Source organism: Homo sapiens, chromosome 19 (assembly GCF_000001405.40).
Source record: "Homo sapiens chromosome 19, GRCh38.p14 Primary Assembly".
In the NCBI taxonomy this organism is placed as follows: Eukaryota; Metazoa; Chordata; class Mammalia; order Primates; family Hominidae; genus Homo; species Homo sapiens.
In genome coordinates this window covers 8,547,594-8,572,348 of record NC_000019.10, presented here as the reverse complement: position 1 = coordinate 8,572,348, position 24,755 = coordinate 8,547,594, and the positions used below count along the sequence as shown (strand labels likewise).

General features: G+C 52.5%; 1 protein-coding gene across 14 annotated transcripts in view, besides 4 other annotated features; it reads left to right on the top strand.

The window, feature by feature from the left end:
* Positions 1-24,755, top strand: part of MYO1F (myosin IF) — a 56,665-nt gene that overhangs the window by 5,094 nt on the left and 26,816 nt on the right. For 12 of the 14 annotated variants that reach the window (NR_199720.1, NR_199722.1, NR_199721.1 and 9 more), the window contains exons 2-12: positions 16,553-16,690; positions 17,606-17,695; positions 17,778-17,872; positions 18,912-18,999; positions 19,121-19,210; positions 20,185-20,316; positions 20,475-20,609; positions 21,655-21,787; positions 21,993-22,189; positions 24,032-24,112; positions 24,227-24,313. Coding sequence is in view for 10 of the 14 variants with exons in the window: in NM_012335.4 (NP_036467.2) it covers positions 16,553-16,690; positions 17,606-17,695; positions 17,778-17,872; positions 18,912-18,999; positions 19,121-19,210; positions 20,185-20,316; positions 20,475-20,609; positions 21,655-21,787; positions 21,993-22,189; positions 24,032-24,112; positions 24,227-24,313 (1,266 nt within the window). In the remaining 4 variants the exon portion in view is untranslated. Of the gene's footprint in view, positions 1-16,552; positions 16,691-17,605; positions 17,696-17,777; positions 17,873-18,911; positions 19,000-19,120; positions 19,211-20,184; positions 20,317-20,474; positions 20,610-21,654; positions 21,794-21,992; positions 22,190-24,031; positions 24,113-24,226; positions 24,314-24,755 lie in introns of all 14 variants that reach the window. The other 2 variants (NM_001348355.2, NM_001440612.1) reach the window with 2 other exon arrangements.
* Positions 956-1,115: an enhancer, noted in NCBI's record as "active region_13920". NCBI's record gives its function as "activates an Ori minimal core promoter by ATAC-STARR-seq in GM12878 lymphoblastoid cells {active_cell/tissue: GM12878}" and the evidence as "EXISTENCE:reporter gene assay evidence [ECO:0000049][PMID:35858748]".
* Positions 3,111-3,200: an enhancer, noted in NCBI's record as "active region_13919". NCBI's record gives its function as "activates an Ori minimal core promoter by ATAC-STARR-seq in GM12878 lymphoblastoid cells {active_cell/tissue: GM12878}" and the evidence as "EXISTENCE:reporter gene assay evidence [ECO:0000049][PMID:35858748]".
* Positions 5,258-5,458: a silencer, noted in NCBI's record as "peak3337 fragment used in MPRA reporter construct". NCBI's record gives its function as "represses an SCP1 promoter by STARR-seq MPRAs in K562 erythroleukemia cells {active_cell/tissue: K562}" and the evidence as "EXISTENCE:reporter gene assay evidence [ECO:0000049][PMID:32103011]".
* Positions 19,298-19,498: a silencer, noted in NCBI's record as "peak3335 fragment used in MPRA reporter construct". NCBI's record gives its function as "represses an SCP1 promoter by STARR-seq MPRAs in K562 erythroleukemia cells {active_cell/tissue: K562}" and the evidence as "EXISTENCE:reporter gene assay evidence [ECO:0000049][PMID:32103011]".

The following is a 24,755-nucleotide window of genomic DNA, read 5'->3' as shown; positions in this document are numbered from 1 at the left end:
TTGCAGTGAGCTGAGATCGCACCACTACACTCCAGCTTGGGCAACAGAGCGAGACTCTGTCTCAGAGGGGAAAAAAAAATGCCCATAATTGATTGGATGCAAAGAGTGAACGTAACAATGAATCAGAGACAGGCAGGTTTCTGTCTTGGGGGTTGGGGACCACATCCCAGAGGATCTTCCCCAAAAAGCAGGAGGGACAAGACCAGGGTTCCCCAGCTCCAGCTTCTGCGTGGAGATGTTTGAGACGGTAGCCACCGACTGTCAGCAATCTCCAGCGACGAGACAAAGAGCCCAGCTCCAGAAAGACAAGGGTCCCCACGTATAAAGGCCAGGCGCGGTGGCTTACGCCTGTAATCCCAATACTTTAGGAGGCCGAGGCGTGCGGATCACGAAGTCAGGAGATCGAGACCATCCTGGCTAACACAGTGAAACCCCGTCTCTAAAAATACAGGGGCTGGGCGCGGTGGCTTACACCTATAATCCCAGCACTTTGGGAGGCCGAGGCGGGCAGATCATGAGGTCAGGAGATCGAGACCATCCTGGCTAACATGGTGAAACCCCGTCTCTACTAAAAATACAAAAAATTACCCAGGCGTGGTGGCGGGTGCCTGTAGTCCCAGCTACTTGGGAGGCTGAGGCAGAAGAATGGCGTGAACTCGGGAGGCAGAGCTTGCAGTGAGCCGAGATGGCGCCACTGCACTCCAGCCTGGGTGAGAGAGCAAGACTCCGTCTCAAAACAATAAAAATACAAAAATACAAAAAAAAAATTAGCCGGGCGCGGTGGCGGGCGCCTGTAGTCCCAGCTACTCGGGAGGCTGAGGCAGGAGAATCGCTTGAACCCAGGAGGTGGAGGTTGCAGTGAGCCGAGATCATGCCACTGCACTCCAGCCTGGGCAACAGAGTGAGATTCCATCTAAAAAAAAAAAAGAGAGAGAGAGAGAAAAGAAAAGAAACAGAGTCCAGTCCCCCTGCTCCCCTGAGGGATGGAGCCTTTGGAGGTGAGAATGTTGTTTGCACAGTGCATGGACGCAGGGTGTGGCCCCAGAGCCCCACTGAGCTGGGGGCAAGGCTCCAGGGCCACCCTCAGGCACCAGGGCAGGGTCTGGGAGCTGAGAGCTGGCTCCAGAAGCAGCTACGGAGGCTTAGCTCTCCTCCCGGCAACCACAGCTCGCAGGACCTGGGTGAGGAAGGAAGTGGCTGTTTGTTTGCTGTCTTCAATCTAGAGCTCTTGCTCATCACGCCCAGAAAAAGCAGACAGCCTGGAGCCCATGGGGTGAGTTGCAAAAGCTCCCTCCTCCAGCCCTTCCTCCTGGCCAGCTCATGGCCACCATTGATGGGGACAGTGAGGAACGCTAGCATTTACACTGGACAACCTTTGCTTCGTTGAATCTGCAGAGCAGCCTGTGAGATTTGCACCCCTCGATGTTCCCATTTTCCGAATGAGGAAACTGAGGCAGAGAGGTTAGGTGAGCTGCCCAATCTAAAATGAAAGAGGATTTTGACTCAGTGACTCCCAAGGCCACACTATTAACAGCCATCTTGGCCGGGCACAGCGGCTTGCACCTGTAATTCCAGCGCTTTGGGAGGCCAAGGCAAGAGGATCAGCAGTCCAGGAGTTTGAGACCAGCCTAAGCAACATAGTTAGACTTTGTCTCTATTTAAAAAAAAAAAAATGTGGTTGGGTGCGGTGGCTCATCCCAGTGCCCGTCATTCCAGCACTTTGGGAGGTCAAGGCGGGCAGATCACTTGGGGTCAGGAGTTCAAGACCAGCCTGGCCAACGTGGTGAAACCCTGTCTCTACTAAAAACACAAAAATTAGCCAGGTGTGGTGGCGTGCACCTGTAATCCCAGCTACTCAGGAGGCTAAGGCAGGAGAATTGCTTGAACCTGGGAGGCAGAGGTTGAGCCAAGGTCATGCCACTGCACTCACAGACTGAGCAACAAGAGCGAGACTCCATCTCAAATAAAAAAAAAAATGTGGCTGGGTGCAGTGGCTCACGCCTATAATCCCAGCACTTTGGGAGGCCGAGATGAGTGGATTGCCTGAGGTCAGGAGTTCGAGACCAGCCTGGCCAACATGATGAAACCTGGTCTCTACTAAAAATACAAAAATTAGCCAGGCGTTGTGCACGCCTGTAATCCCAGCTACTTGGGAGGCTGAGGCAGGAGAATCACTTGAACCTGGGAGGCAGAGGTTGCAGTAAGCCTAGATCATGCCGCTGCACTCCAGCCTGAACAACAGAGCAAGACTCCATCTCAAAAAAAAAAAAATGTATTAGCCAGGCGTGGTAGTATGCACCTGTGGTCCCAGCTACTCAGGAGGCTGAGGCAGGAGGATTCGCTTGAGCCTGGGAGGTCAAGGCTGCAGTGATATCAAACCACTGCCTTCCAACCTGGGCAACAGAACAAGACTCTGTCCAAAAAAAATAACAGGCACCTTGACCACAGCCTCCTGTCCTCCTAAGCAATGAGAGGCCAGCAGGACTATGTGCTGACCCCACATGGCCTGGGCTGTCTATCCCTCCAGGACCATGACCCTCCATTCCAAACAGACTAGAATCCTGGTGTCCACCACACACCCAAGGCCTCTCTGGCTGATGTCTCTTGCAGCCACCACTGATGCTGCCTGGAAAGTTCATGTTGCAAGACGTGCCTTCTACAGGAAGCCCTCTCACCTCTCCACAGTACTTTCCAGCCATGGTCTCCTCTGGGCAACTGAGACACCACTTGGGGAACACCGAGCCCCCCAAGGGCAGGTTCTGGGCCTGGTCCACCTAAGCCTGGTCTCCACCTACCTCCATGCACAGTAGGGGCCCAGGAAGTGTGTTCCCTCCATGGCACACATCCCCCAGCCCCATAGGCACCATCACCTTCACCACAAACAGCCCCTCCCTGGTGTGATACCAGGAAGGTTGTCCCCGCCTGCCCTAGTTCTGCCTTCAGCCTTGGGGTAGAGAGACCTCTCTGAAGAGCTGAAGGAAGAAGCTACCCGTCCTTCCTACCCCACCCACCTCAAGCCCCTGACTGCCTTTCACAAGAGCTCCAGCAGGTTGAGTCATATTCAGCTTGTGGTCAACTGTGACCACAAGCTCTTCGTTGCATCCCCACCCCCAAGGAAGAGACTTACAAACAAACAGTTTTGACTTGACCCATGGAGACTTGGAGGCCACAGAATGAGAGAGATATCTGGGAGACAGGGCAGGGGGCAGTCTCATCCCAATAGGACTTCATTCATTCATTCATTCATTCAACAAGTATGTATTGACCAGGCTTTCTGTCCAACACTGATGCCTTAAATCCTCTCAAGGTCACAGATGACATTTCCTGAGGCATCTCGGCGCATTTTTTCTCTTTGTTCGCTCCTGTACTTGTTTCAGAGACCCCACACAAGGGTCATTATGGAATCCATTTGGTTATTTGTTGTTGTTGAGATGGAGTCTCGCTCTGTTGCCCAGGCTGGAGTGCAATGACGTAATCTTGGCTCACTGCAACCTCCACCTCCTAGGTTCAAGCAATTCCCCTGCCTCAGCCTCCCGGATAGCTAAGACTACAGACACCCGCCACCACGCCGGGCTAATTTTTGTATTTTTAGTAGAGATGAGGTTTCACCATGTTGGCCAGGCTGGTCTTGAACTCCTGACCTCAAGTGATCTGCCTGCCTCGCCTCCAAAAGTGCTGGGATTACAGGCGTGAGCCACCATGCGCGGCCAAATCCACTTGCAAAGAGGAGAAACTGAGGCTTGGAGAAGAGAAGTGACCTCCCCAGAGTCACACAGTCAGTCAACTGTCAAGCCAGGCTTTGACCCCAATCCATCACATGCCAAAATTCTCGACTATCCTCCCCACACGATATTCACTTGAGCAAAACCCTCTCTCCCTTCGATGCAAACAGCCTGTGATTAATTTTTTTTTTTTTTTTTTTTTTTGAGACGGAGTCTCACTCTTTCACCCAGGCCGGACTGCAGTGGCACCATCTCAGCTCACTGCAAGCTCCGCCTCCCAGGTTCACGCCATTCTCCTGCCTCAGCCTCCCGAGGAGCTGGGACTACGGGCGCCCGCCACCGCACCTGGCTAATTTTTTGTAGTTTTAGTAGAGACGGGGTTTCACCGTGTTAGCCAGGATAGTCTCGATCTCCTGACCTCGTGATCCACCCACCTCGGCCTCCCAAAGTGCTGGGATCACAGGTGTGAGCCACCGTGCCCGGCCCAGCCTGTGATTTTACAGGTGGCTGGAGCATGGAGTGTCTGAGGGCCTCTAGTGCCTGGGGCAGGATAGAGAGGGAGAGAATGGTCAGAGAAGAGGGCCACTCTGCCAGATGAGGAAAGAGGGGAAGGGCAGGAAGAGGAACCAAGTCGTCAGAGCCGGGAGAGCCAGGAGGGCTGATGGGCCTAGCCAGACACAGCTGACCCCAGTGAGGGGAAGTGGCCTGGGGTCTTAGTTCAGCCTGAGTGGCCTGGCAGGCTGAAGCCTGCACTGGCCCCCAAAGGGGAAATTGTAGACATGACCCATCTTCTCCCCAACCCATCCTCATCTGACCTCAGCAGCAACCCCGGCGATCTCTGATACAGACCAGCCTGGGGAAGGACAGCTTCGTGGGTCCTCCCCAAGGTCCTCTCTGCACTGCTGTGTGTCCTTGAAGAGGACACTTAACCTCTCTGTGCTGTAGTTTTCTCTTCTATAAAATGGACCCAGGATGGGTGCGGTGGCTCACGCCTATAATCCCAGCACTTTGCGAGGCCGAGGTGGGAGGATCACCTGAGGTTGGGAGTTCGAGATGAGCGTGCCCAACGCGGTAAAACCTTGTCTCTACTAAAAATACAAAAATCAGCCAGGCGCCTGTAATCCCAGCTACTCAAGAGGCTGAGGCAGGAGAATCGCTTGAACCCAGGAGGTGGAGGTTGCAGTGAGCTGAGATCGTGCCACTGCACTCCAGCCTGGGTGCAACAGAGCAAGACTTTGTCTCAAAAAAAAATAGACCCAGTGGGCCGGGCACGGTGGCTCATGCCTGTAATTTCAGCACTTTGGGAGGCCGAGGCAGGTGGATCACAAGGTCAGGAGTTCAAGACCAGCCTGGCCAAGATGGTGAAACCCCCATCTCTACTAAAAATACAAAAATTAGCAGGCTTGGTGGTGGGTGCCTATAATCCCAGCTACTCGAGAGGATGAGGCAGAGAATTGGAATTGCTTGAACCTGGGAGACGGAGGTTGCAGTAAGCCAAAGTCGTACCACTGCATTCCAGCCTGGGCGACAGAGCAAGACTCAATCTCAAAAAAAAAAAAAAAAAAAAATTGGACCCAGTGATAGGACTAACCTCAGCCAGCGTGTGTTGAAAGGATAAGATGAAGTAATTCACATAAAAAGCTTAGACCAGGCTTGGCCTGGTGGCTTACGCCTGTAATCCTAGCACTTTCATAGGCTGAAGCAAGAGGATTACTTGAAATTCAGGAGTTCAAGACCAGCCTAGGCAACATAGCGAGACTCTATCTCTGTTTGTAAACATATATTATTTAATATATATATTAAAATAAATAAAGGCCAGTTATGGTGGCTCATGCTTGTAATCCCAGCACTTTGGGAGGCTGAGGCGGGTGGATCACTTGAGGTCAGGAGTTCGAAACCAGCTTGGCCAACATGGTGAAACCCCATCTCTACAAAAAATACAAATATTACCTGGGCATGGTGGCATGCACCTGTAATCCCAGCTACTTGGGAAACTGAGGCAGGAGAATCGCTTGAGCCAGGGAGGCAGAGGTTGCAGTGAGCCAAGATCATGCCACTGCACTCCAGCCAGGGCGAAAGAGCAACACTCTGTTTCAAAAATAAATAAATTAATTAAATTAAATAAATAAAAATAAAATTTTTTTTAAAAAGCATAGACCAGGCCGGGCGCGGTGGCTCACGCCTGTAATCCCAGCACTTTGGGAGGCCGAGGCGGGTGGATCATGAGATCAGGAGCTCGAGACCATCCTGGCTAACACGGTGAAAGCCCATCTCTACTAAAAATACAAAAAATTAGCTGGGCATGGCCGTGGGAGCCTGTAGTCCCAGCTACATGGGAGGCTGAGGCAGGAGAATGGCGTGAACCCGGGAGGCAGAGCTTGCAGTGAGCCGAGATCATGCCACTGCACTCCAGCCTGGGCGAGAAAGCAAGACTCCATCTCAAAAAAAAAAAAAAAAAAAAAAAAGACATAGACTGGAGCCTGGTACACAGAATAAGTGCTAGTTTGGTGTTTGGGTTTTTTTTCTGGGTCTTCGTCTGTCATCCAGGCTGGAGTGCTGCCACAATCACAGCTCACTGTAACTCCGAACTCCTGGGCTCAAGTGATCCTCTTGCCTCAGCCTCCTGAGTGGCTGGGACTACAGGCGCATACCACCATGCCTGGCTAATTTTTATTTATTTTTTATTTTTTATTTTTTTTTGCAGAGATGGGGGTCTCACTATGTTGCCCAGGCTGGTCTCAAACACCTGGCCTCAAGTGATCCTTCCACCTCAGCCTCCCAAAGTGCTGGGATGACAGGTGTGAGCCACCACCCGGCCAGGTGTTAACTGTTGTTGTCATTGTTTTCTATTGTTGTTATTTCCATCCAATCTCCACCCTTAAGCTCTTCAGAGACAAAATGCACTTCCCGTGTCCCCACCCACTGACACAGCTGTGCCTGTCCCCAGCCTCTCCCCAAATACCTGTTTAGAAAAAGAACAGACCCTCACCACTCACGACCCTGCTCCTGCCCCACTAGGCCCATGAATGATGCCACTTTGCCCACAATTATTTATTTTTTAATTTTTATTATTATTATTATTTCGAGACAGAGTTTCGCACTTGTTGCCCAGGCTAGCTTGCAATGGCACAATCTTGGCTCACTACAACCTCTGCCTCCCAGGTTCAAGCTATTCTCCTGCCTCAGCCTCCCGAGTAGCTGGGATTACAGGCGCTCGCCACCACACCTGGCTAATGTTGTACTTTTAGTGGAGACGGGGTTTCCCCACGTTGGTCAGGCTGGTCTCAAACTCCCAACCTCAGTTGATCTGCCCGAGTCAACCTCCCAAAGTGCTGGGATTACAGGCGTGAGCTACTGCACCCAACCTGCCCACAATTTTTATTGTCTCTTCTCATCAACCATCTGGTCTCCCCATCTTGAAAATGAAATGAGCCAGGCGTGGTGGCTCACGCCTGTACTCCCAGCACTTTGGGAGGCTGAGGTGGGTGGATCACTTGAACTTGAGGTCAGGAGTTACAGACCAGCCTGGCCAACATGGTGAAATCCCTGTCTCTGGCCGGACACAGTGGCTCATGCCTGTAATCCCAGCACAGTGGGAGGCTGAGGTGGGCGGATCACCTGAGGTTGGGAGTTCGAGATGAGCGTGTCCAACGTGGTGAAATCCTGTCTCTACTAAAAACACAAAAATCAGCCTGGCTTGGTGGCAGGCGCCTGTAATTCCAGTTACTTGGGAGGCTGAGGCAGGAGAATCACTTGAACCCGGGAGGCGGAGGTTGCAGTGAGCCGAAATCATACCACTGCACTCCAGCCTGGGTGACAGAGCGAGACTCTGTCTCAAAACAACAACAAAAAAAAAACAGGAAACACGGGCTCCCCTGACCCCACTTCTCCCCCACAGCCTCTCTCCCTCTTCCCCTTCTCAGCCAGATCCTCATTCCTGTCTATACCTCCTAGCCTCCCAATCCTGCTTCTGACCCTGGGGCCCCTCTTAGTCTCCAGTGAGCTCAGACGCTCTTCAGGGTTGAGTCGATGGCTCCTAACCCACCCTCGTCCCATCTGGGCCTCCCCTGCCTGGTCCGGGTTTTGCCTCTGACTTCCCTGGCAGTTCCTACTCAGCCAGTCTGTGGTGGGTGTCAACTTCAACCCCTCCATGCCACTGCTCCCCAGGATTCTGTCATCTCCTGACGCACCCCAGGGACTCTCAGTGCATCCCAGTCAGCACCTCCTTCTTTTTTTGTTGTTTTCAAGACAGGGTTTCACTCCTGTCGCCCAGGCTGAAGTGCAATGGCATGATCTTGGCTCACTGCAACCTCTGCCTCCTGGGTTCAAGCGATTCTCCTGCCTCAGCCTCCCAAGTAGCTGGGATTACAGGCGCCTGACACCACGCCTGGCTAATTTTTGTATTTTTAGTAGAGACGGGGTTTCACCATGTTGGCCAGGCTGGTCTCGAACTCCTGACCTCAAGTGATCCATCCACCTTGGCCTCCCAAAGTGCTGGGATTATAGGCATGAGCCGCCATGCCCGGCCAGCACCCACTTCTTATAAAAACACCTAATTAGGCCTCCTTTAAATCCCGACATTAACCTCAGACAATGGACACACTCAACTCCCATAGTTTCAAAAAGAATCAATGTGATTGCCTGTAATGAAGACCTTACAATAAAATGTGTGTCCAAATATGAGAGTGCTAGGGTCAGGCCAAAGCGCAGTGGCTCATGCCTATAATCTCAGCACTTTGAGAAGCCAAGGCGGGTGGATCACCTGAGGCTAGGAGTTTGAGACCAGCCTGGCCAACATAGAAAAACCCTGTCTCAAGCCAGGCGCGGTGGCTCACCCCTGTAATCCCAGCACTTTGGGAGGCTGAGGCAGGGGGATCGCCTGAGGTCAGGAGTTCCAGACCAGCCTGACCAACATAGTGAAAGCCCATCTCTACTAAAAATACAAAAAAAATTAGCTGGGCGTGTTGATGGGCTCCTGTAACCCCAGCTACTAGGGAGGCTGAGGCAGGAAAATCGCTTGAACCCGGGAGGCGAAGGTTGCAGTGAGCTGAGATCACATCATTGCACTCCAGCCCAGATAACAAGAGAGACACTCCATCTCAAAAAAAAAAGAAAGAAAGAAAGAAAAAGAAAAATCCTGTCTCTACTAAAATTACAAAACGTTAGCTGGGCGTGGTGGTGCACGCCTATAATCCCAGGTACTCAGGAGGCTGAGGCATGAGAATCGCTTGAATCCGGGAAGCAGAGGTTGCAGTGAGCTGAGATCTCACCACTGCACTCCAGCCTGGGCGATAGAGCAAGACTGTGTCTCAAAAAAAAAAAAAAAAAAAAAGTGGCCAAGCACAGTGGCTCATGCCTATAATCCCAGCATTTTGGGAGGCCGAGGCGGGTGGATCACCTGAGGTCAGGAGTTCAAGACCAGCCTGACCAACATGGTGAAACCCCATCCATACTAAAAATACAAAAAATTAGCCAGGCATGGTGGCAGGTGCCTGTAGTCCCAGCTACTCGGGAGGCTGAGACAGGACAATCACTTGGACCCGGGAGGCAGAGGTTACAGTGAGCTGCGATCAAACCACTGCACTCCAGCCTGGGCGACAGAGTGAGACTCGGTATCAAAACAAAAAAAGGAAAGAAGGAAAGAAGGTGCTAAGGTCAGCGGTCCAAGAAGGCCCAGGAGAGCCACCAGGTGCTCCCACCTGTAAACAAGTATGACAGTCCCACCTACAGGTCATTTTTAACGCCACCACCGGCATGACTTTCAACGAAGTGAGTTTCCAAAATGTTTAACTTGGCCAGGCACCATGGCTCATGCCTGTAATCCTGGCACTCTGGGAGACTGAGGCAGGAGGATTGCTTGAGCCCAGGAGTTAGAGACCAGCCTGGGCAACATAGGGAGACCCCATCTGTAAAAAAAAAATTTAAGTAGCTGGGCACAGTGGTACTTGCCTGTGGTCCCAGCTACTCAGGAGGCTGGGGTGGGAGGATCACTTGAGCCTGGACGTCAAGGCTACAGTTAGCTATGATTACACCACTGCACTCCAGCCTGGGCAACAGAGCAAGACCCTGCCTCAAAAAAATAAATAAGTAAATAAATTTTTAAAATAAACAAAGTGTTGAGCTCTTAGCACACTGAACAAAACTAAAATCTCCCAGCTGGGCCCAGTGGCTTCCACCCATAGGCCCAGCTACTCAGGAGGTCAAGGCAGGAGGATTGCTTGGGCCCAGGAGTTCGAGGCCGCAGTGAGGTATGATCGCACCAGTGCACTCCAGCCTAGGTGACAGAGTGAGATCTTGTCTCAAAAAAGACAAGAAAAAGAAAGGAAGGGCCGGTGCGGTGGCTCATGCCTATAATCCCAGTGCTTTGTGAGGCCAAGGCGGGCGGGTAACGAGGTCAGGAGATCAAGACCATCCTGGCTAACACGGTGAAACCTCGTCTCCACTAAAAATACAAAAAAAAAAAGAAAAAATTAGCCGGGCAGGAGAACGGCGTGAACCCTGGAGGCGAGGCTTGCAGTGAGCCGAGATTGTGCCACTGCCCTTCAGCCTGGGCGACAGAGCAAGACTCCATCTCAAAAAAAACAAAAGAAAAAAAAAGAAAAAGGAAGGAAGGGCCAGACGCAGTGGCTCATGCCTGTAATCCCAGCACTTTGGGAGGCCGACATGGGTGGATCACGAGGTCAGGAGTTCAAGACCAGCCTGGCCAATATGGTGAAACCTTATCTCTACTAAAAATACAAAAATTAGCCGGGTGTGGTGGTGCGCGCCTATAGTCCCAGCTGCCCGGGAGGCTGAGGCAGAAGAATCGTTTGAACCTGGGAGGTAGATTTTGCAGTGAGCCAAGATCGCGCCACTACACTCCAGCCTGGCCAACAGAGCGAGACTCCATCTCAAACAAACAAAAAAAAAGATAGAAAAAAAGGAGGAAGGAAGGAAGGAAAAGGGAAGGGAAGAAAGGAAAGAAGGAAAGAAAAAATGGAAGGAAAGAAGGAAAGAAAGAAGAAAGAAAGAGAGAAAGAAAAAAGAGAAGAGAGGGAGGGAGGGAAGGAAGGAAGGAGGGAGAGGAGGGGAGGGAGGGAAAGAAAGAGGAAGAAAGAAGAGAGAAAGAGAGAAGAATGAGAGAGAAGAAAGAGAACGAAAGAAAGAGAAAAAGAAAGAGAGAGAGAGGGAGAGAGGGAGGAAGGAAGGGAGGGAGAGGAGAAAGGAAGGGAGGGAGAGGAGAAAGGAAGGAAGGAAAGAAGGGGGGAAGGGAGGGAGGGAGGGAGGGAGGGAGGGAATTCATGCTGACTACTCAGGCCAGGAGCAGTGTGAGGGGTTGAAGCCCTGACTACCCCTGCATTCCATTCTCTGTCCCTGCTGCAGCCACACCTCCACACCTTTCCCCAGACAGTTAACCCTGACTGGTGCACCCTTTCTCCCAGCTGTTTATCAAAACCCTTCTCAGGCCAGGCACAGTGGCTCACACCTGTAATCCCAGCATTTTGGAAGGCCAAGGTGGGAGGATCACTTGAGCCCAGGAGTTATAGACATCAGCCTGAGCAACAGAGCAAGACCATGTCTCTATGAAATATTTAAAAATTAGCCAGGCGTGGCCAGGCGCAGTGGCTCACACCTATAATCCCAGCACTTTGGGAGGCCGAGGCGGGCAGATCACAAGGTCAGGAGATTGAGACCATCCTGGCTAATACAGTGAAACCCCGTCTCTACCAAAAATACAAAAAATTAGCCGCCGTGGTGGCGGGCGCCTGTAGTCCCAGCTACTCGGGAGGCTGAGGCAGGAGAATGGCGTGAACACAGGAGACAGAGCTTGCAGTGAGCCGAGATCGTGCCACTGCGCTCCAGCCTGGGCGACAGAGCAAGACTCTGTCTCAAAAAAAAAAAAAATTAGCCAGGCGTGGTGGCATGTGCCTGTAGTCTCAGCTACACAGGAGGCTGAGACCAGGAGGATCACTTGAGCCCAGGAGGTCAAGGCTGCAGTGAGCCATGACCTTGCCACTGCACTCCAGCCTGGGAGACAGAGTGAGACCCTGTCTCAAAAACCAAACCAAAACAAAACAAAAAAATCCTTCTCAGCACCAGCCCAGCCTCCTGTGCGTGTAGACAGAGGCAAGAACCTGTTCTTTTTTTTTTTTCCTTTTTTTAAGACCAAGTCTCGCTATGTTTGCCCAGGTTGGAGTGCAATGGTGCAATCTCGGCTCACTGCAACCTCTGCCTCCCGGGATCAAGCGAGTCTCCTGCCTCAGCCTCCTGAGTAGCTGGGATTACAGGCGCGCACCCCCACACCCGGCTACTTTTTTTGTATTTTTAGTAGAGATGGGGTTTCACCATGTTAGCCAGGATGGTCTCGATCTCCTGACCTCATGATCCGCCCGCCTCAGCCTCCCAAAGTGCTGGGATTACAGGCGTGAGCCACCGCGCCCAGCCAAGAACCTGTTCTTTGCTGTTGAATAGACCCAGGTTCAAACCCCACACCCTTGGAAACAATACCTGTATCTTTAGTCCCGTGTCCTTAAGGAAGCTGCTGTACTTCTCCAGCCTCCGTTTCCCTTCGAGCCTACCCACACTGAGATGGTGTGATGATGGCTGCCAGTATCAACCATCTACATCCCCCAAACCAGGCACAGCATAGGTGCTCGCTGAGTGTTAATTCTTTACTTTTTTTTTTTTTTTTTTTCTGAGATGGAGTTTTGCTCTTGTTGCCCAGGCTGGAGTGCAATGGCACAATCTGGGCTCACCGCAACCTCCGCCTCCTGGGTTCTAGCGATTCTCCTGCCTCAGCCTCCCGAGTAGCTGGGATTACAGGCGTGCGCCACCACGCCCAGCTAATTTTTGTATTTTTAGTAGAGATGGAGTTTCACCATGTTGGTCAGGCTGGTCTCAAACTCCCGACCTTAGATGATCTCCCCGCCTCGGCCTCCCAAAGTGCTGGGATTGCAGGTGTGAGCCACCGCGCCCGGTCGTGTTAATTCTTTCAAATGCCCCTCAGCCTCGGTCTATCCTCACGACCACTCAGGCTTGGGGAGGGGCACCAGCCTCCCATCCCACCTTGTTCCCCCAGAGTAGTTCATCCTCTCATCAACCCTGGGAAGTGGAGCTGCCTCTTCCTTTTTATAGATGAGACGATGGAGACTCACAGCAGCATCTGTTTGCCCAGTCAGGATCAGAACCCAGATCTACCCTTATGCCAAAGGCTGGGCTTATTTAATGCCCATGGGCATCCCTCAACAACCTCTAACTGTCAGTATGTCCAGAATCTGATCATGCACCTCCACCCCCACCCCCCACCCCCCACCCCCTCAAGAACATTCCGTGGCTCCCCAGTACCCCCAGGAGAGACTGGCTCCACTTCTGCCTTACAGTTGCCCACGTGGACACTTCTGCTTGTGCCCTGCCTGTATCCCTGGAATCCACTGGCAAACACAGTCCACTTTAAAGACTTCAATCCTGGGCTGGGAGCGGTGGCTCATGCCTGTAATCCCAGCAGTTTGGAAGATCGAGGCAGGAAGGTCGCTTGAACTCAGGAGTTCAAGACCAGCCTGAGCAACACAGTGAAACCCCGTCTCTACCAAAAATACAAAAAATTAGCTGGGCTTAGTGGTGTGTGCCTGTAGTGCCAGCTACTCAGGAGGCCGAGGTGACAGGCTCGCTTGAGCCCCGCAGGCAGAGGTAGCAGTGAGCCGTGGTCTCACCACTGCACTCCATCCAGCCTGGGCAAAGCAGTGAGACCCCATCTCAAAAATACAAAAATACTTCAATTCCCAGCTTTGTTTGCTCTGGTGGTTTTTGCTCTGAATCTGGGTTTCTTTCTTTACCTTTGTCCCCTGTTCATTTGACAGAGAAAAGACTCAGCCCCAGTCTCTGTCTCCAGGAGCTCCTGGCCTGGGGATGGGGGGCTTCCAGGAGGAGAGACATCTTATCTGACCATCAGTTCACCAAATGGGGTAGCTCCAAGTTGCCATCACTCCTATCTGTCAGACTACTCCTTTGCAGAGATGTGTTGAATAGAGACAGAGTGAGCCTGAGAAAGCCAGGGTGTTTAAGGCACTAGATAAATTCAGTCGGGCTAAAAGGAGAGCAACCAGGGCAGGCTTCCTGGAAGAGGAGATTTTGGAGAGCATGTGCCTCAGTCTCCTCCATGGGGCCTAAAGAAAGTGTCGTCTGGGTCAGGCAAGGTGTCTCATGCCTGAAATTCCAGCACTTTGGGAGGCTGAGGTGGGAGGATCACTTGAGGCCAGAAGTTAAAGACCAGCCTGAGCAACAGAGCAAGACCCCATCAATACAAAAAAAATTTAAATATTAGCTGGGCATGGTGGCACACACCTGTGGTCCCAGCTACTCAGGAGGCTGAGGTGGGAGGATCTCTTGAGCCCAGAAGGTCAGGGCTACAGTGAGCTATGATCCCGCCACTGCACTCCAGCCTGGGTGACAGAACAAGACTCTGACTCAAAAGAAAAAAAGAAAAGAAAAAGAAAAACTGAGAGAGGAAATGAAATGAAAAAAATGGCAACCTAAGAAGGTGCTGGCACTGCTGAGGGGCAAGGTGAAGGGACACAGAGGAGAAGGCCACGGCAGGGGCAGCAGGGAGGCAGGGCTGGGAGTAGAGGGTAGAGCTGAGGAACAAAGTCATACACAGGCACAGAGGGCAGAGGTCACAGCACATGGTGGCCTGGAGGAGCTCAAAGGGACCAGCTGGTATGTGTGACCACAAGAGAAGAGGAGAGGTAGGAGGGAGAAGGAAGGGGCCTGGCAGCAGTGGATCAAATGCCACAGAGAAGTCAGGGACTGGCCTGGGCCTGGGGAGGGGACGGGGGATGTGAAAGGGAGAGGCTGGGAGGCTGGCAGGAAGTGAGAACTGGGATGCGCCCACTTCCCACCAAGTCACCCGGTCTCCCTGCTCTGCTCCTACAGCCTGCAGAACCCCAAGCACTCTGTGCCCTGCCCGCCAAGCCTGGCATCCTTCATGGGAAGTGAGGGGTACTAGGTGGAGTGACAGATGGAAAGAGAGACCAAAGGAGAGGGCTGAGGGGCTGGGTGCAGTAGCTTACGCCTATAATCCCACCACTTTGGGGGACTGAGACAGATAATCCATTCAGCCCAGGAGTTCAAGACCAGCCAGGGCAACATAGCAAGACCCCATCTCTACAAAAAAATACAAAAATTATCCAGGCATGGTGGTGCACGTCTGTAGTCCCAGCTACCCAGGAGGCTGTGGTGTGGTGGAAGGATTGCTTGAGCCCAGGAGGTTGAGGCTGCATGGAGCTGTGATCACACCACTGCACTCCAGCCTGGGTGACAGAGTGAGACCCTGTCTCAAAACTTTTTTTGTTGTTTGTTTGGTTGTTTGTTTTTTTTGAGACAGAGTCATCCAGGATGGAGTGTAGTGGCGAAATATCAGCTCACTGCAACCTCCACATCCTGGGCTCAAGTGATCCTCCCACCTCAGCTTCCAGAGTAGCTATGATCACAGACACATGCCACCACTCGTCTAATTTTTCTATTTTTTGTAGAGATGGGGGTCTCACTATGTTGCCCAGGCTGGTCTTGAACTGCTGGCCTTAAGCAGTCCTCCCGCCTCGGCCTCCCAAAGTGCTGGGATTACAGGTGTGAGCCATTGCGTCTGGCCCCACTGATCTTTTACTGTCCTCATAGTTTTGCCTTTTCCAGAATATCCTATAGTTGGAATAAGACAGTAAATAGCCTTTTCAGATTGGCTTCCTTTTTTTTTTTTTTTTTTTTTTTGAGACAGAGTTTCACTCTTGTTGCCAAGGCTGGAGTGCAATGGCACAATCTCGGCTCACTGCAACCTCTGTCTCCCAGGTTCAAGCGATTCTCCTGCCTCAGCCTCCCGAGTAGCTGGGATAACAGGCATGTGCCAGCACACCTGGCTAATTTTGTATTTTTAGTATAGACGGGGTTTCTCCATATTGATCAGACTGGTCTCGAACTCTCGTCCTCAGGTGATCCACCCGTCTTGGCCTCCCAAAGTGCTGGGATTACAGGCATGAGCCACTGTGCCCGGCCCCAGATTGGCTTCTTTCACTTAGTGATATGCCTTTAAGTTTCCTCCATGTCTTTTCATGGCTTGAGATCTCATTTCTTTCTTTCTTTCTCTTTCTTTCTCTTTCTTTCTTTCTTTCTTTCTTTTTTTATAGAGACGGGGCCTCGCTATGTTGCCCAGGCTGGTCTCGAACTCCTGGCCTCAAGCGATCCTCCTGCCTCAACCTCCCGAAGTGCTGGGATTACGGGCATGAGCCACTGCACTTGGCATTAAAAAATTTTTTAATTAAAAAAAAAAGAGGCCGGGTGCGGTGGCTCACGCCTGTAATCCCAGCACTTTGGGAGCCTGAGGCGGGTGGATCACTTGAAGTCAGGAGTTCCAGACCAGCCTGGCCAACATGGTGAAACCCCATCTCTACCAAAAATATTAAAAATTAGCCGGGCATGGTGGTGGGCACCTGTAATCCCAGCTACTCGGGAGGCTGAGGCAGGAGAATCGCTTGAACCCGGGAGGTGGATGTTGCAGTGAGCAGAGATCACGCCACTGCACCCCAGCCTGACTGACAGAGTGAGACTCTGTCTCAAAATAAATAAATAAATAAAAATTAAAAATTAAAAAAAAATAGAGGGCTGAGGGCTGGATCCGAGCAGTGCAACTTCTGTCTGGGGCAGGGGGCCTGGCTTGGACCCTGCCAGCCTCTCCTGGAGATGGGGAAGGAGGAATGGAGGTGGGGCGGGGGAGGTGGGACAGAACCCAGAAGCTGATAGCGTCGGTGAGCCAGGTGCCGCATCCCCGTGCAAGGGCTCACCCCGACCCCCCTCTCACCCCCCAGGGCAGCAAGGAGCGCTTCCACTGGCAGAGCCACAACGTGAAGCAGAGCGGCGTGGATGACATGGTGCTTCTTCCCCAGATCACCGAAGACGCCATTGCCGCCAACCTCCGGAAGCGCTTCATGGACGACTACATCTTCGTACCCTGGGCCAAGGCTGGGGGTGGGCAGGCAGGGAAGGAATGAATGGCTGGGCCATGGACGGAGAGGAGGGTGAAGGAGCAGAGGGAGGAATGGGCCGGGAGAGCACCAAGTGGTGACACAGAGGACAGACAGAGTGACAGCAGGGCTCTGGTTGGGGGCAGCTGTGGCTGCCACTGCTCCCTCTGTCCTGGGGAAGCTCAGCCCCAGCGTGTTCCATTTCCCCCATTCCGGATCCAACCCTGTTTGTTCTTTTTTTTTTTTTTTTTTTTTTTTTTTTTTGAGACGGAGTCTTGCTCTGTCGCCCAGGTTCCAGGCTGGAGTGTAGTGGCACAATCTCAGCTCACTGCAACCTCCACCTCCCGGATTCAAATGATTCTCCTGCCTCAGCCTCCCAAGTAGCTGGGATTATAGGCATGCGCCACCATGCCTGGCTAATTTTTTTGTTTTTGCTTTTTGTGTTTTGTGTTTTGTTTTTGAGACTGAGTGGCTCTTGTTGCCCAGGCTGGAGTGCAATGGCACGATAGCTCGCTGCAACCTCTGCCTCCCAGGTTCAAGCGATTCTCCTCCCTCAGCCTCCCAAGTAGCCGGGATTACAGGCATGCACCACCATGCCCGGGTAATTTTTTGTATTATTAGTGGAGACAAGGTTTCACCATGTTGGCCAGGCTGGTCTCAAACTCCTGACCTCAAGTGATCCGCCTGCCTCGGCCTTCCAAAGTGCTGGGATTACAGGCATGAGCCACCGCGCCCGGCCAGCCCTGTTTTTTCCAAGAGACTCGAGGTGCATCCATTATCTCCATCTCTTCCACCTCCAAGCAATGGAGTTTTAGGAAGCCCTGGGTGGGGGCAGGATGAGGGGACAGGGAGGACAAAACCTACCAGGACACCACACGACCCTTAACCATCCCTCAGACCTACATCGGCTCTGTGCTCATCTCTGTAAACCCCTTCAAGCAGATGCCCTACTTCACCGACCGTGAGATCGACCTCTATCAGGGCGCGGTGAGGCTGGGGCTGGGTGGGAGGCACAGCCCCCAGACTCCTGGCCCCCAGCCCTGGGCTGAGACCTGACCTCCCCTGCCAGGCCCAGTATGAGAATCCCCCGCACATCTACGCCCTCACGGACAACATGTACCGGAACATGCTTATCGACTGTGAGAACCAGTGTGTCATCATTAGGTATGGACAGAGTTGGGGGGCCACAGACCCTGCTGCCCGGGCCCCTGCTGAAACATCACCACCCCCAGGGAGGTTTGCCTGAAACTCCCAATCTGAACATTGCCCTGCTGTCCCTCTCTGCCCTCACTCTGTTTTATTTTCCTTGTCACCATCTGACTCACGATGTATTTTATTGATTCATTCTGCTATTGTCTGTCTGTCCCCTCTAAATGTCACCTCAGGCCAGGTGTAGTGGCTCATGCTTGTAATCCTGGCACTTTGGGAGGCCAAGGCGAGAGGATCTCTTGAGGCTAGGAGTTCAAGACCAGCCTGGGCAATATGGCAACATCCTGTCTCTGTATAGATAATAATTAGCCGGACACGGTGGTGCACGCCTGTAGTCCCCAGCTACTCAAGAGGCTGAGGAGGGAGGATTGCTTGAGCCCAGGAGTTCCAGGCAGGAACAGGTGCTATGATCACACCACTGCACTCCAGCCTGGGCAACAGAGTGAGACCCCATCTCAGTCAATCAATCGATGCCAGCTCTATGAGAGCAGAGAGAGAGAAAGAGAGCGAGAGAGAGAGAGAGAGAGAGAGAGAGAGTGTGTGTGTGTGTGTGTGTGTGTGTGACAGAGTCTCAGTCTGTCACCCAGGCTGGAGTGCAGTGGCACAACCTCAGCTCACTGCAACCTCTGCCTCCCAGGTTCAAGCAATTCTCCTGCCTCAGCCTCCTGAGTGGCCGGGATTACAGGCGCCCACCACCATGTCCGGCTAATTTTTGTATTTTAGTAGAGACTGGGTTTCACCATGTTGGCCAGGCTGGTCTCTAACTTTTGACCTCAAGTGATCCGCCCTCCTCAGGCTCCCAAAGTGCTGGGATTACAGGCAGGAGCCACCATGCCCGGCTGAGAGCAGAGATTTTATCTGTCTTGTTCATTACAGTATCCCCAGTACCCGGAATACTGGCAGGCACACAGTAGGTGCTCAATGAATGAATGGTCAGGCACTAAAAAGGGCTCTTCCCCAACCACTGATCATTTATTCCTCCATTCATCCCCAGTGGAGAGAGTGGAGCTGGGAAGACAGTGGCAGCCAAATATATCATGGGCTACATCTCCAAGGTGTCTGGCGGAGGCGAGAAGGTCCAGGTGAGACGAGGAAAACAGAAGGATAAGCTGGGTCGCCCTCACCTGCATGGTAGTGCAGCCCCACCCATCTGCACTCCTGCCTCAGTCTGACTTCTTCCCACTCCACCTGCCTCTGCCCCAGCACGTCAAAGATATCATCCTGCAGTCCAACCCGCTGCTCGAGGCCTTCGGCAACGCCAAGACTGTGCGCAACAACAATTCCAGCCGCTTTGTAAGTCTCTGCAGACCTGCTTGGAGCAGCTGCTCCCTCCGTGCTGACCTTTCTACACACACACCCACACATACACACACCCGTATTGCCAAGACAAGAGTCCATTGAAAACCCAGCAGGAAATACCTACTCCTGAAGGGGAGACTCACTTCCTGCTCATGGTCCCTTTCAAAAGAGAGTCCCCCATTGGCAGAACTGTGGAGGCCATGACACCCCTGTGTAACATTCTTAAATGCTCCCCCGGCTGCAGCCATGCTACATTGTTCCCATTCACATTTCAGGTCCAATTTATTCCCTCATCCATTCCTTCTTTCGACAATAGTTCTGGGACTCGTTCTTTGTGTGGGTGCTGCGCTGGGCCCAGTGAAAGTCAGGATAGGTAAACAGATATGGATTCAGGGTTTGATTCTATCACTGTGAGCTGTGTAGCCTGGGGGGGAAAAAAATCTATGCAACTTCCTGAGTTTCCTCTGTTTGCTCATCCATAAAATGGTGACGATGTTAATATCCATCTCATAGACTTCAGTATTACACCTGCACATGGACATGGTTTAATAAATTCCATACCCTTGGGCTGGGTGTGGGGGCTCACATCTGAAATCCCAGCACTTTGGGAGGCTGAGACAGGCGGATCACTTGAGGTCTGGAGTTCAAGACCAGCCTGGCCAACATGATGAAAAATACAAAAATTAGCTCTGCCAAAAATACAAAAATTAGCTGGGCATGGTGGCGGGTGCCTGTAGTCCCAGCTACTCAGGAGGCTAAGGCAGGAGAATCACTTGAACCCAGGAGGTGGACGTTGCAGTGAGCCGACATTGCGCCACTGAATCCCAGCCTGAGCAACAGAGTCAGATTCTGTCTCAAAAAAAAAAGGAAGAAGGGAAGAGAGGCAAGGCTCATAAGACCCATCCCCAACCCTTCCCCCACCTGCACCCCAGGACACTGGGGTGCTGACATGGTTCTCTCGGATTCAGGGCAAGTACTTTGAGATCCAGTTCAGCCGAGGTGGGGAGCCAGATGGGGGCAAGATCTCCAACTTCTTGCTGGAGAAGTCCCGCGTGGTCATGCAAAATGAAAATGAGAGGAACTTCCACATCTACTACCAGGTGCAGGGAAGGGGCCGGGGGAGAGGGAGCACCACCTGGAGCCCAGCGGGGTGGACAATGGGAAGGTAAACACCTAGGGGGGCATGGCAGGGCAGATGAGGGATCACAGGGGCTGAGCCAGGCAAGCACCAGATGCATGAACATGGCACACCCTCCAGCTGCTGGAAGGGGCCTCCCAGGAGCAAAGGCAGAACCTGGGCCTCATGACACCGGACTACTATTACTACCTCAACCAATCGGACACCTACCAGGTGGACGGCACGGACGACAGAAGCGACTTTGGTGAGACTCTGGTGAGCACCGGCCTCTACTCCAGTCCCCGGCCAGGCAGACCTCAGCCCCAGAAACCCTCCTGAGTTACAAATTAGGAAACCGAAGCCCAGGCCAGGCATGTGGCTCAAGCCTGTAATCCCAGCACTTTGGGAGGCCGAGGCAGGTAGATCACTTAAGGTCAGGAGTTTAAGACCGGCCTGGCCAACGTGGTTAAACCCCGTCTCTACTTAAAATACAAAAATTAGCCAGATGTGGTGGCGTGTGACTGTAATCCCAGCTACTGGGGAGGCAGAGGCAGGAAAATTGCTTGAAAACGGGAGGTGGAAGTTGCAGTGAGCCGAGATCACACTACTGCACTCCAGCCTGGGCAACAGAGTGAGACTACATCTCAAAAAAAAAAAAAAAAAAGGCCAGGCACGGTGGCTCACACCTGTAATCCCAGCACTTTGGGAGGCCGAGGCAGGTAGATCACCTGAGGTCAGGAGTTCAAGACCAGCCTGGCCAACATAGTGAAACCCCATCTTTATTAAGAATACAAAGATTAGCCGGGTATGATGCCATGCGCCTGTAGTCCCAGCTACTAGGGAGGCTGAGGCAGGAGAATCGCTTAAACCCGGGAGGTGGAGGTTGCAGTGAGCCAAGATAGCGCCGCTGCACTCCCGCCTGGGTGAAAGAGTGAGACTCTAAAAAAAAAAAAATAGGAAACCAAAGCCCAGTCCGGACACGACGCTCACGCCTGTAATCCCAGCTACTCGGGAGGCGGAGGCAGGAAAATCGCTTGAACCTGGGATGAGGAGGTTGCAGTGAGCCAAGATCATACCACTGCACTCCAGCCTGGGCAACAGAGGGAGACTCTGTCTCAAAAATAAAAAATATAATAAAAAACAAAGCCCAGAGAGGTGCAGGCACTTACCCAAGGTCACGCGGCAAGTGACTGAAAGGGGTAGGACAGGGACCCAAGGGTGCTCACTCCCTGAGTCCGTGCTGTGGTCCCTCAAGCCTGCCCCTGGAGGCAGGTTGGAGGCCAGGATTCACGGCACAGTTTCTGCCCCCGTTGTACCACAGAGTGCTATGCAGGTTATTGGGATCCCGCCCAGCATCCAGCAGCTGGTCCTGCAGCTCGTGGCGGGGATCTTGCACCTGGGGAACATCAGTTTCTGTGAAGACGGGAATTACGCCCGAGTGGAGAGTGTGGACCGTGAGTGTGGGTATCAGGGAGGGCTGGATGGAGGCCTGTGGGTGGGTGAACTGCGTCCTCCTAGCTCAGCCCCCAGGAAGCTGAAAGCCCACGAGGAAAAAAATGTGGGTGTCACTGGGCAAGATGGGGATAATAGGAGGCCCATGCAGGAGGCACAAGAGCCCAACCAACTGTCCCATTTTTGCCCTGACCTTTGCCCTGGTAGTCCTGGCCTTTCCCGCCTACCTGCTGGGCATTGACAGCGGGCGACTGCAGGAGAAGCTGACCAGCCGCAAGATGGACAGCCGCTGGGGCGGGCGCAGCGAGTCCATCAATGTGACCCTCAACGTGGAGCAGGCAGCCTACACCCGTGATGCCCTGGCCAAGGGGCTCTATGCCCGCCTCTTCGACTTCCTCGTGGAGGCGAGTGGGGCTGGGGCTGGAAGGCAGAGTGGATGCTCTGGGGTCACAAACATTTATGGAAGCTGAGTGCAGTGGCTCACGGCTGCAATCCCAATGCTTTGGGTGGCTGAGTTGGGAGCATTCTTTGAGGCCAGAAGTTCAAGACCAGCCTGGGCAACATAGCAAGACCCCCATCTCTACAGAAATTTCAAATTAGTTGGGTGTAGTGGTGTGCATGTGTAGTTCTGGCTACTCAGAGGGCTGAGGTTGGGGGATCATTTGAACCCAGGAGGTTGGGGCTGCAGTGAGCTATGATTGCGCTATTGTACTCCAGCCTGGGTGACAGAGCAAGACCCTGTCTCTAAAAAAAACTTTTGGCCAGATGCAGTGGCTCATGCCTGTAATCCCAGCACTTTGGGAGGCTGAGGTGGATGGATCACTTGAGGTCTGGAGTTTGAGACCAGCCTGGCCAACATGGTGAAACCCCCTCTCTACTAAAAATTACCCGGGAGTGGTGGCACATGCCTTTAATCCCAGCTACTTGGGAGGCTGAGGGAGGAGAATCACTTGAACCTGGGAGGTGGAGGTTGCAGTGAGCTGAGATCGTGCTATTGTATTCCAGCCTGGGCAACAGAGAGAGACTCTGTCTCAAAATAAATAAATAAATAAAATAAAAACTTTTTTAATGTATGGAGTCAGCCTGGGCAACATGGCAAAACCCTGTCTCTACAAAAATACAAAAATTAGCCGGGCATGGTGGCTGGTGCCTGTAATCCCGGCTACTCAGGAGGCTGAGGTGGAAGAATCCCTGACCCCAGGAGGTTGAGGCTGTAGTGAGCCATGATCAAGCCACTACACTCCAGCCTGGACAACAGACTGAGACCCTGTCTCAAAATAAAAAATAAAAATAAATAAAGTATAAAATGTATGGCCAGGTGCAGTGGCTCATGCCTGTAATCCCAGCACTTTGGGAGGTCAAAGCGGGCAGATCACCCAAGGTCAGGAGTTCAAGATCAGCCCTGGCCAGCATGGCAAAACCCCGTCTCTACTAAAAATACAAGAATTAGCCGGGCGTGGTGGCGCATGCCTGTAATCCCAGCTACTTGGGAGGCTGAGGCAGAAGAATCTCTTGAATCCTGGAGGCAGAGGTTTCAGTGAGCCGAGATTGCGCCACTGGCATTCCAGCCTGGGCAACAGAATGAGACTCCATCTCAAAAAAAATAGAAAAGAAAAAGCCCCATAAGGTAGTTGCTATTATCAACCCCTTTTAAAGATAAGAAAATAGAGGTGCAAGGCCGGGCGCAGTGGCTCACACCTGTAATCCCGGCACTTTGGGAGGCCGAGGCGGGCGGATCACGAGGTCAGGAGATCGAGACCACAGTGAAACCCCGTCTCTACTAAAAATACAAAAAATTAGCCGGGCGTGGTGGCAGGCCCTTGTAGTTCCAGCTACTTGGGAGGCTGAGGCAGGAGAATGGTGTGAACCCTGGAGGCGGAGCTTGCAGTGAGCCGAGATCATGCCACTGCACTCCAGCCTGGGCGACAGAGTGAGACTCCGTCTCAAAAAAAAAAAAGAAAAAAAAAAAAAGAAAATAGAGGTGCAGAGAGGTTCAGGGGCAGAGTCAGCTCTGGAGTCAGGGACCCTGATACACTGACACTTGGGTTTCTCCTCTGAGTGACTGATTATGGGGTGGGGAGACTGTACACAGAGCCAGGAAGGGCAGAGCTAAAGAGGGCTGGAGGGAAACTGGCATGAGGGGACATCACCCATGAAGTTGGCTAGGCGTGTGTCTAAGGAGTGGTGGGCAGGGGCTTCAGATCTGACCGATGCCCACTGACTTCCTGTCCCCACCCACACCGCAGGCCATCAACCGTGCTATGCAGAAACCCCAGGAAGAGTACAGCATCGGTGTGCTGGACATTTACGGCTTCGAGATCTTCCAGGTACGGCCCCCTGCCTCCAGCCCACATCCTGTCCTCCCTGGGGCAGCCCAGGGTGGCCACAAGAACTTCCAGCACCAGGACATTGAGGGAAGGACCCTTTTCCTCCTTCTGCAGAAAAATGGCTTCGAGCAGTTTTGCATCAACTTCGTCAATGAGAAGCTGCAGCAAATCTTTATCGAACTTACCCTGAAGGCCGAGCAGGTGGGCGGCCAAGCAGTCAGGGATGGGGGATCCTGGGGTGGGGGTGGGGTGGAAGGACCATGAGGATCCCTTAGCAACTAGGGGACACCCCAGCCCTCCCCACCGCGTTCCCACCTCTCTGTGCCAACCTACCCAGGCTCCATAGTGATACTTCCTTCTGCCTCTAAAGCTTTGGGAAGGACCGTGCCTCTTAGTTCATTCATTCAGCAATTATTTATTGAGCACCTGTTGTGTGCCAGGTACTGTTTAGGGTGCTTGGAGACACAGCCATGAACAATAAGGCAATAGTCCCTGCTGTCTTCATTTTGCCCCTCCCCCAGAAGCAGAGCCTGAGGCAAGGATTCAGAGACAAATGGTTTTTCTGGGAGGCAATCCCAGGAAGCTCCAAGAGGAGACTGAGGAAGTAAGTCAGGGATTTTTTTTTTTTTTTTTGAGACAAAGT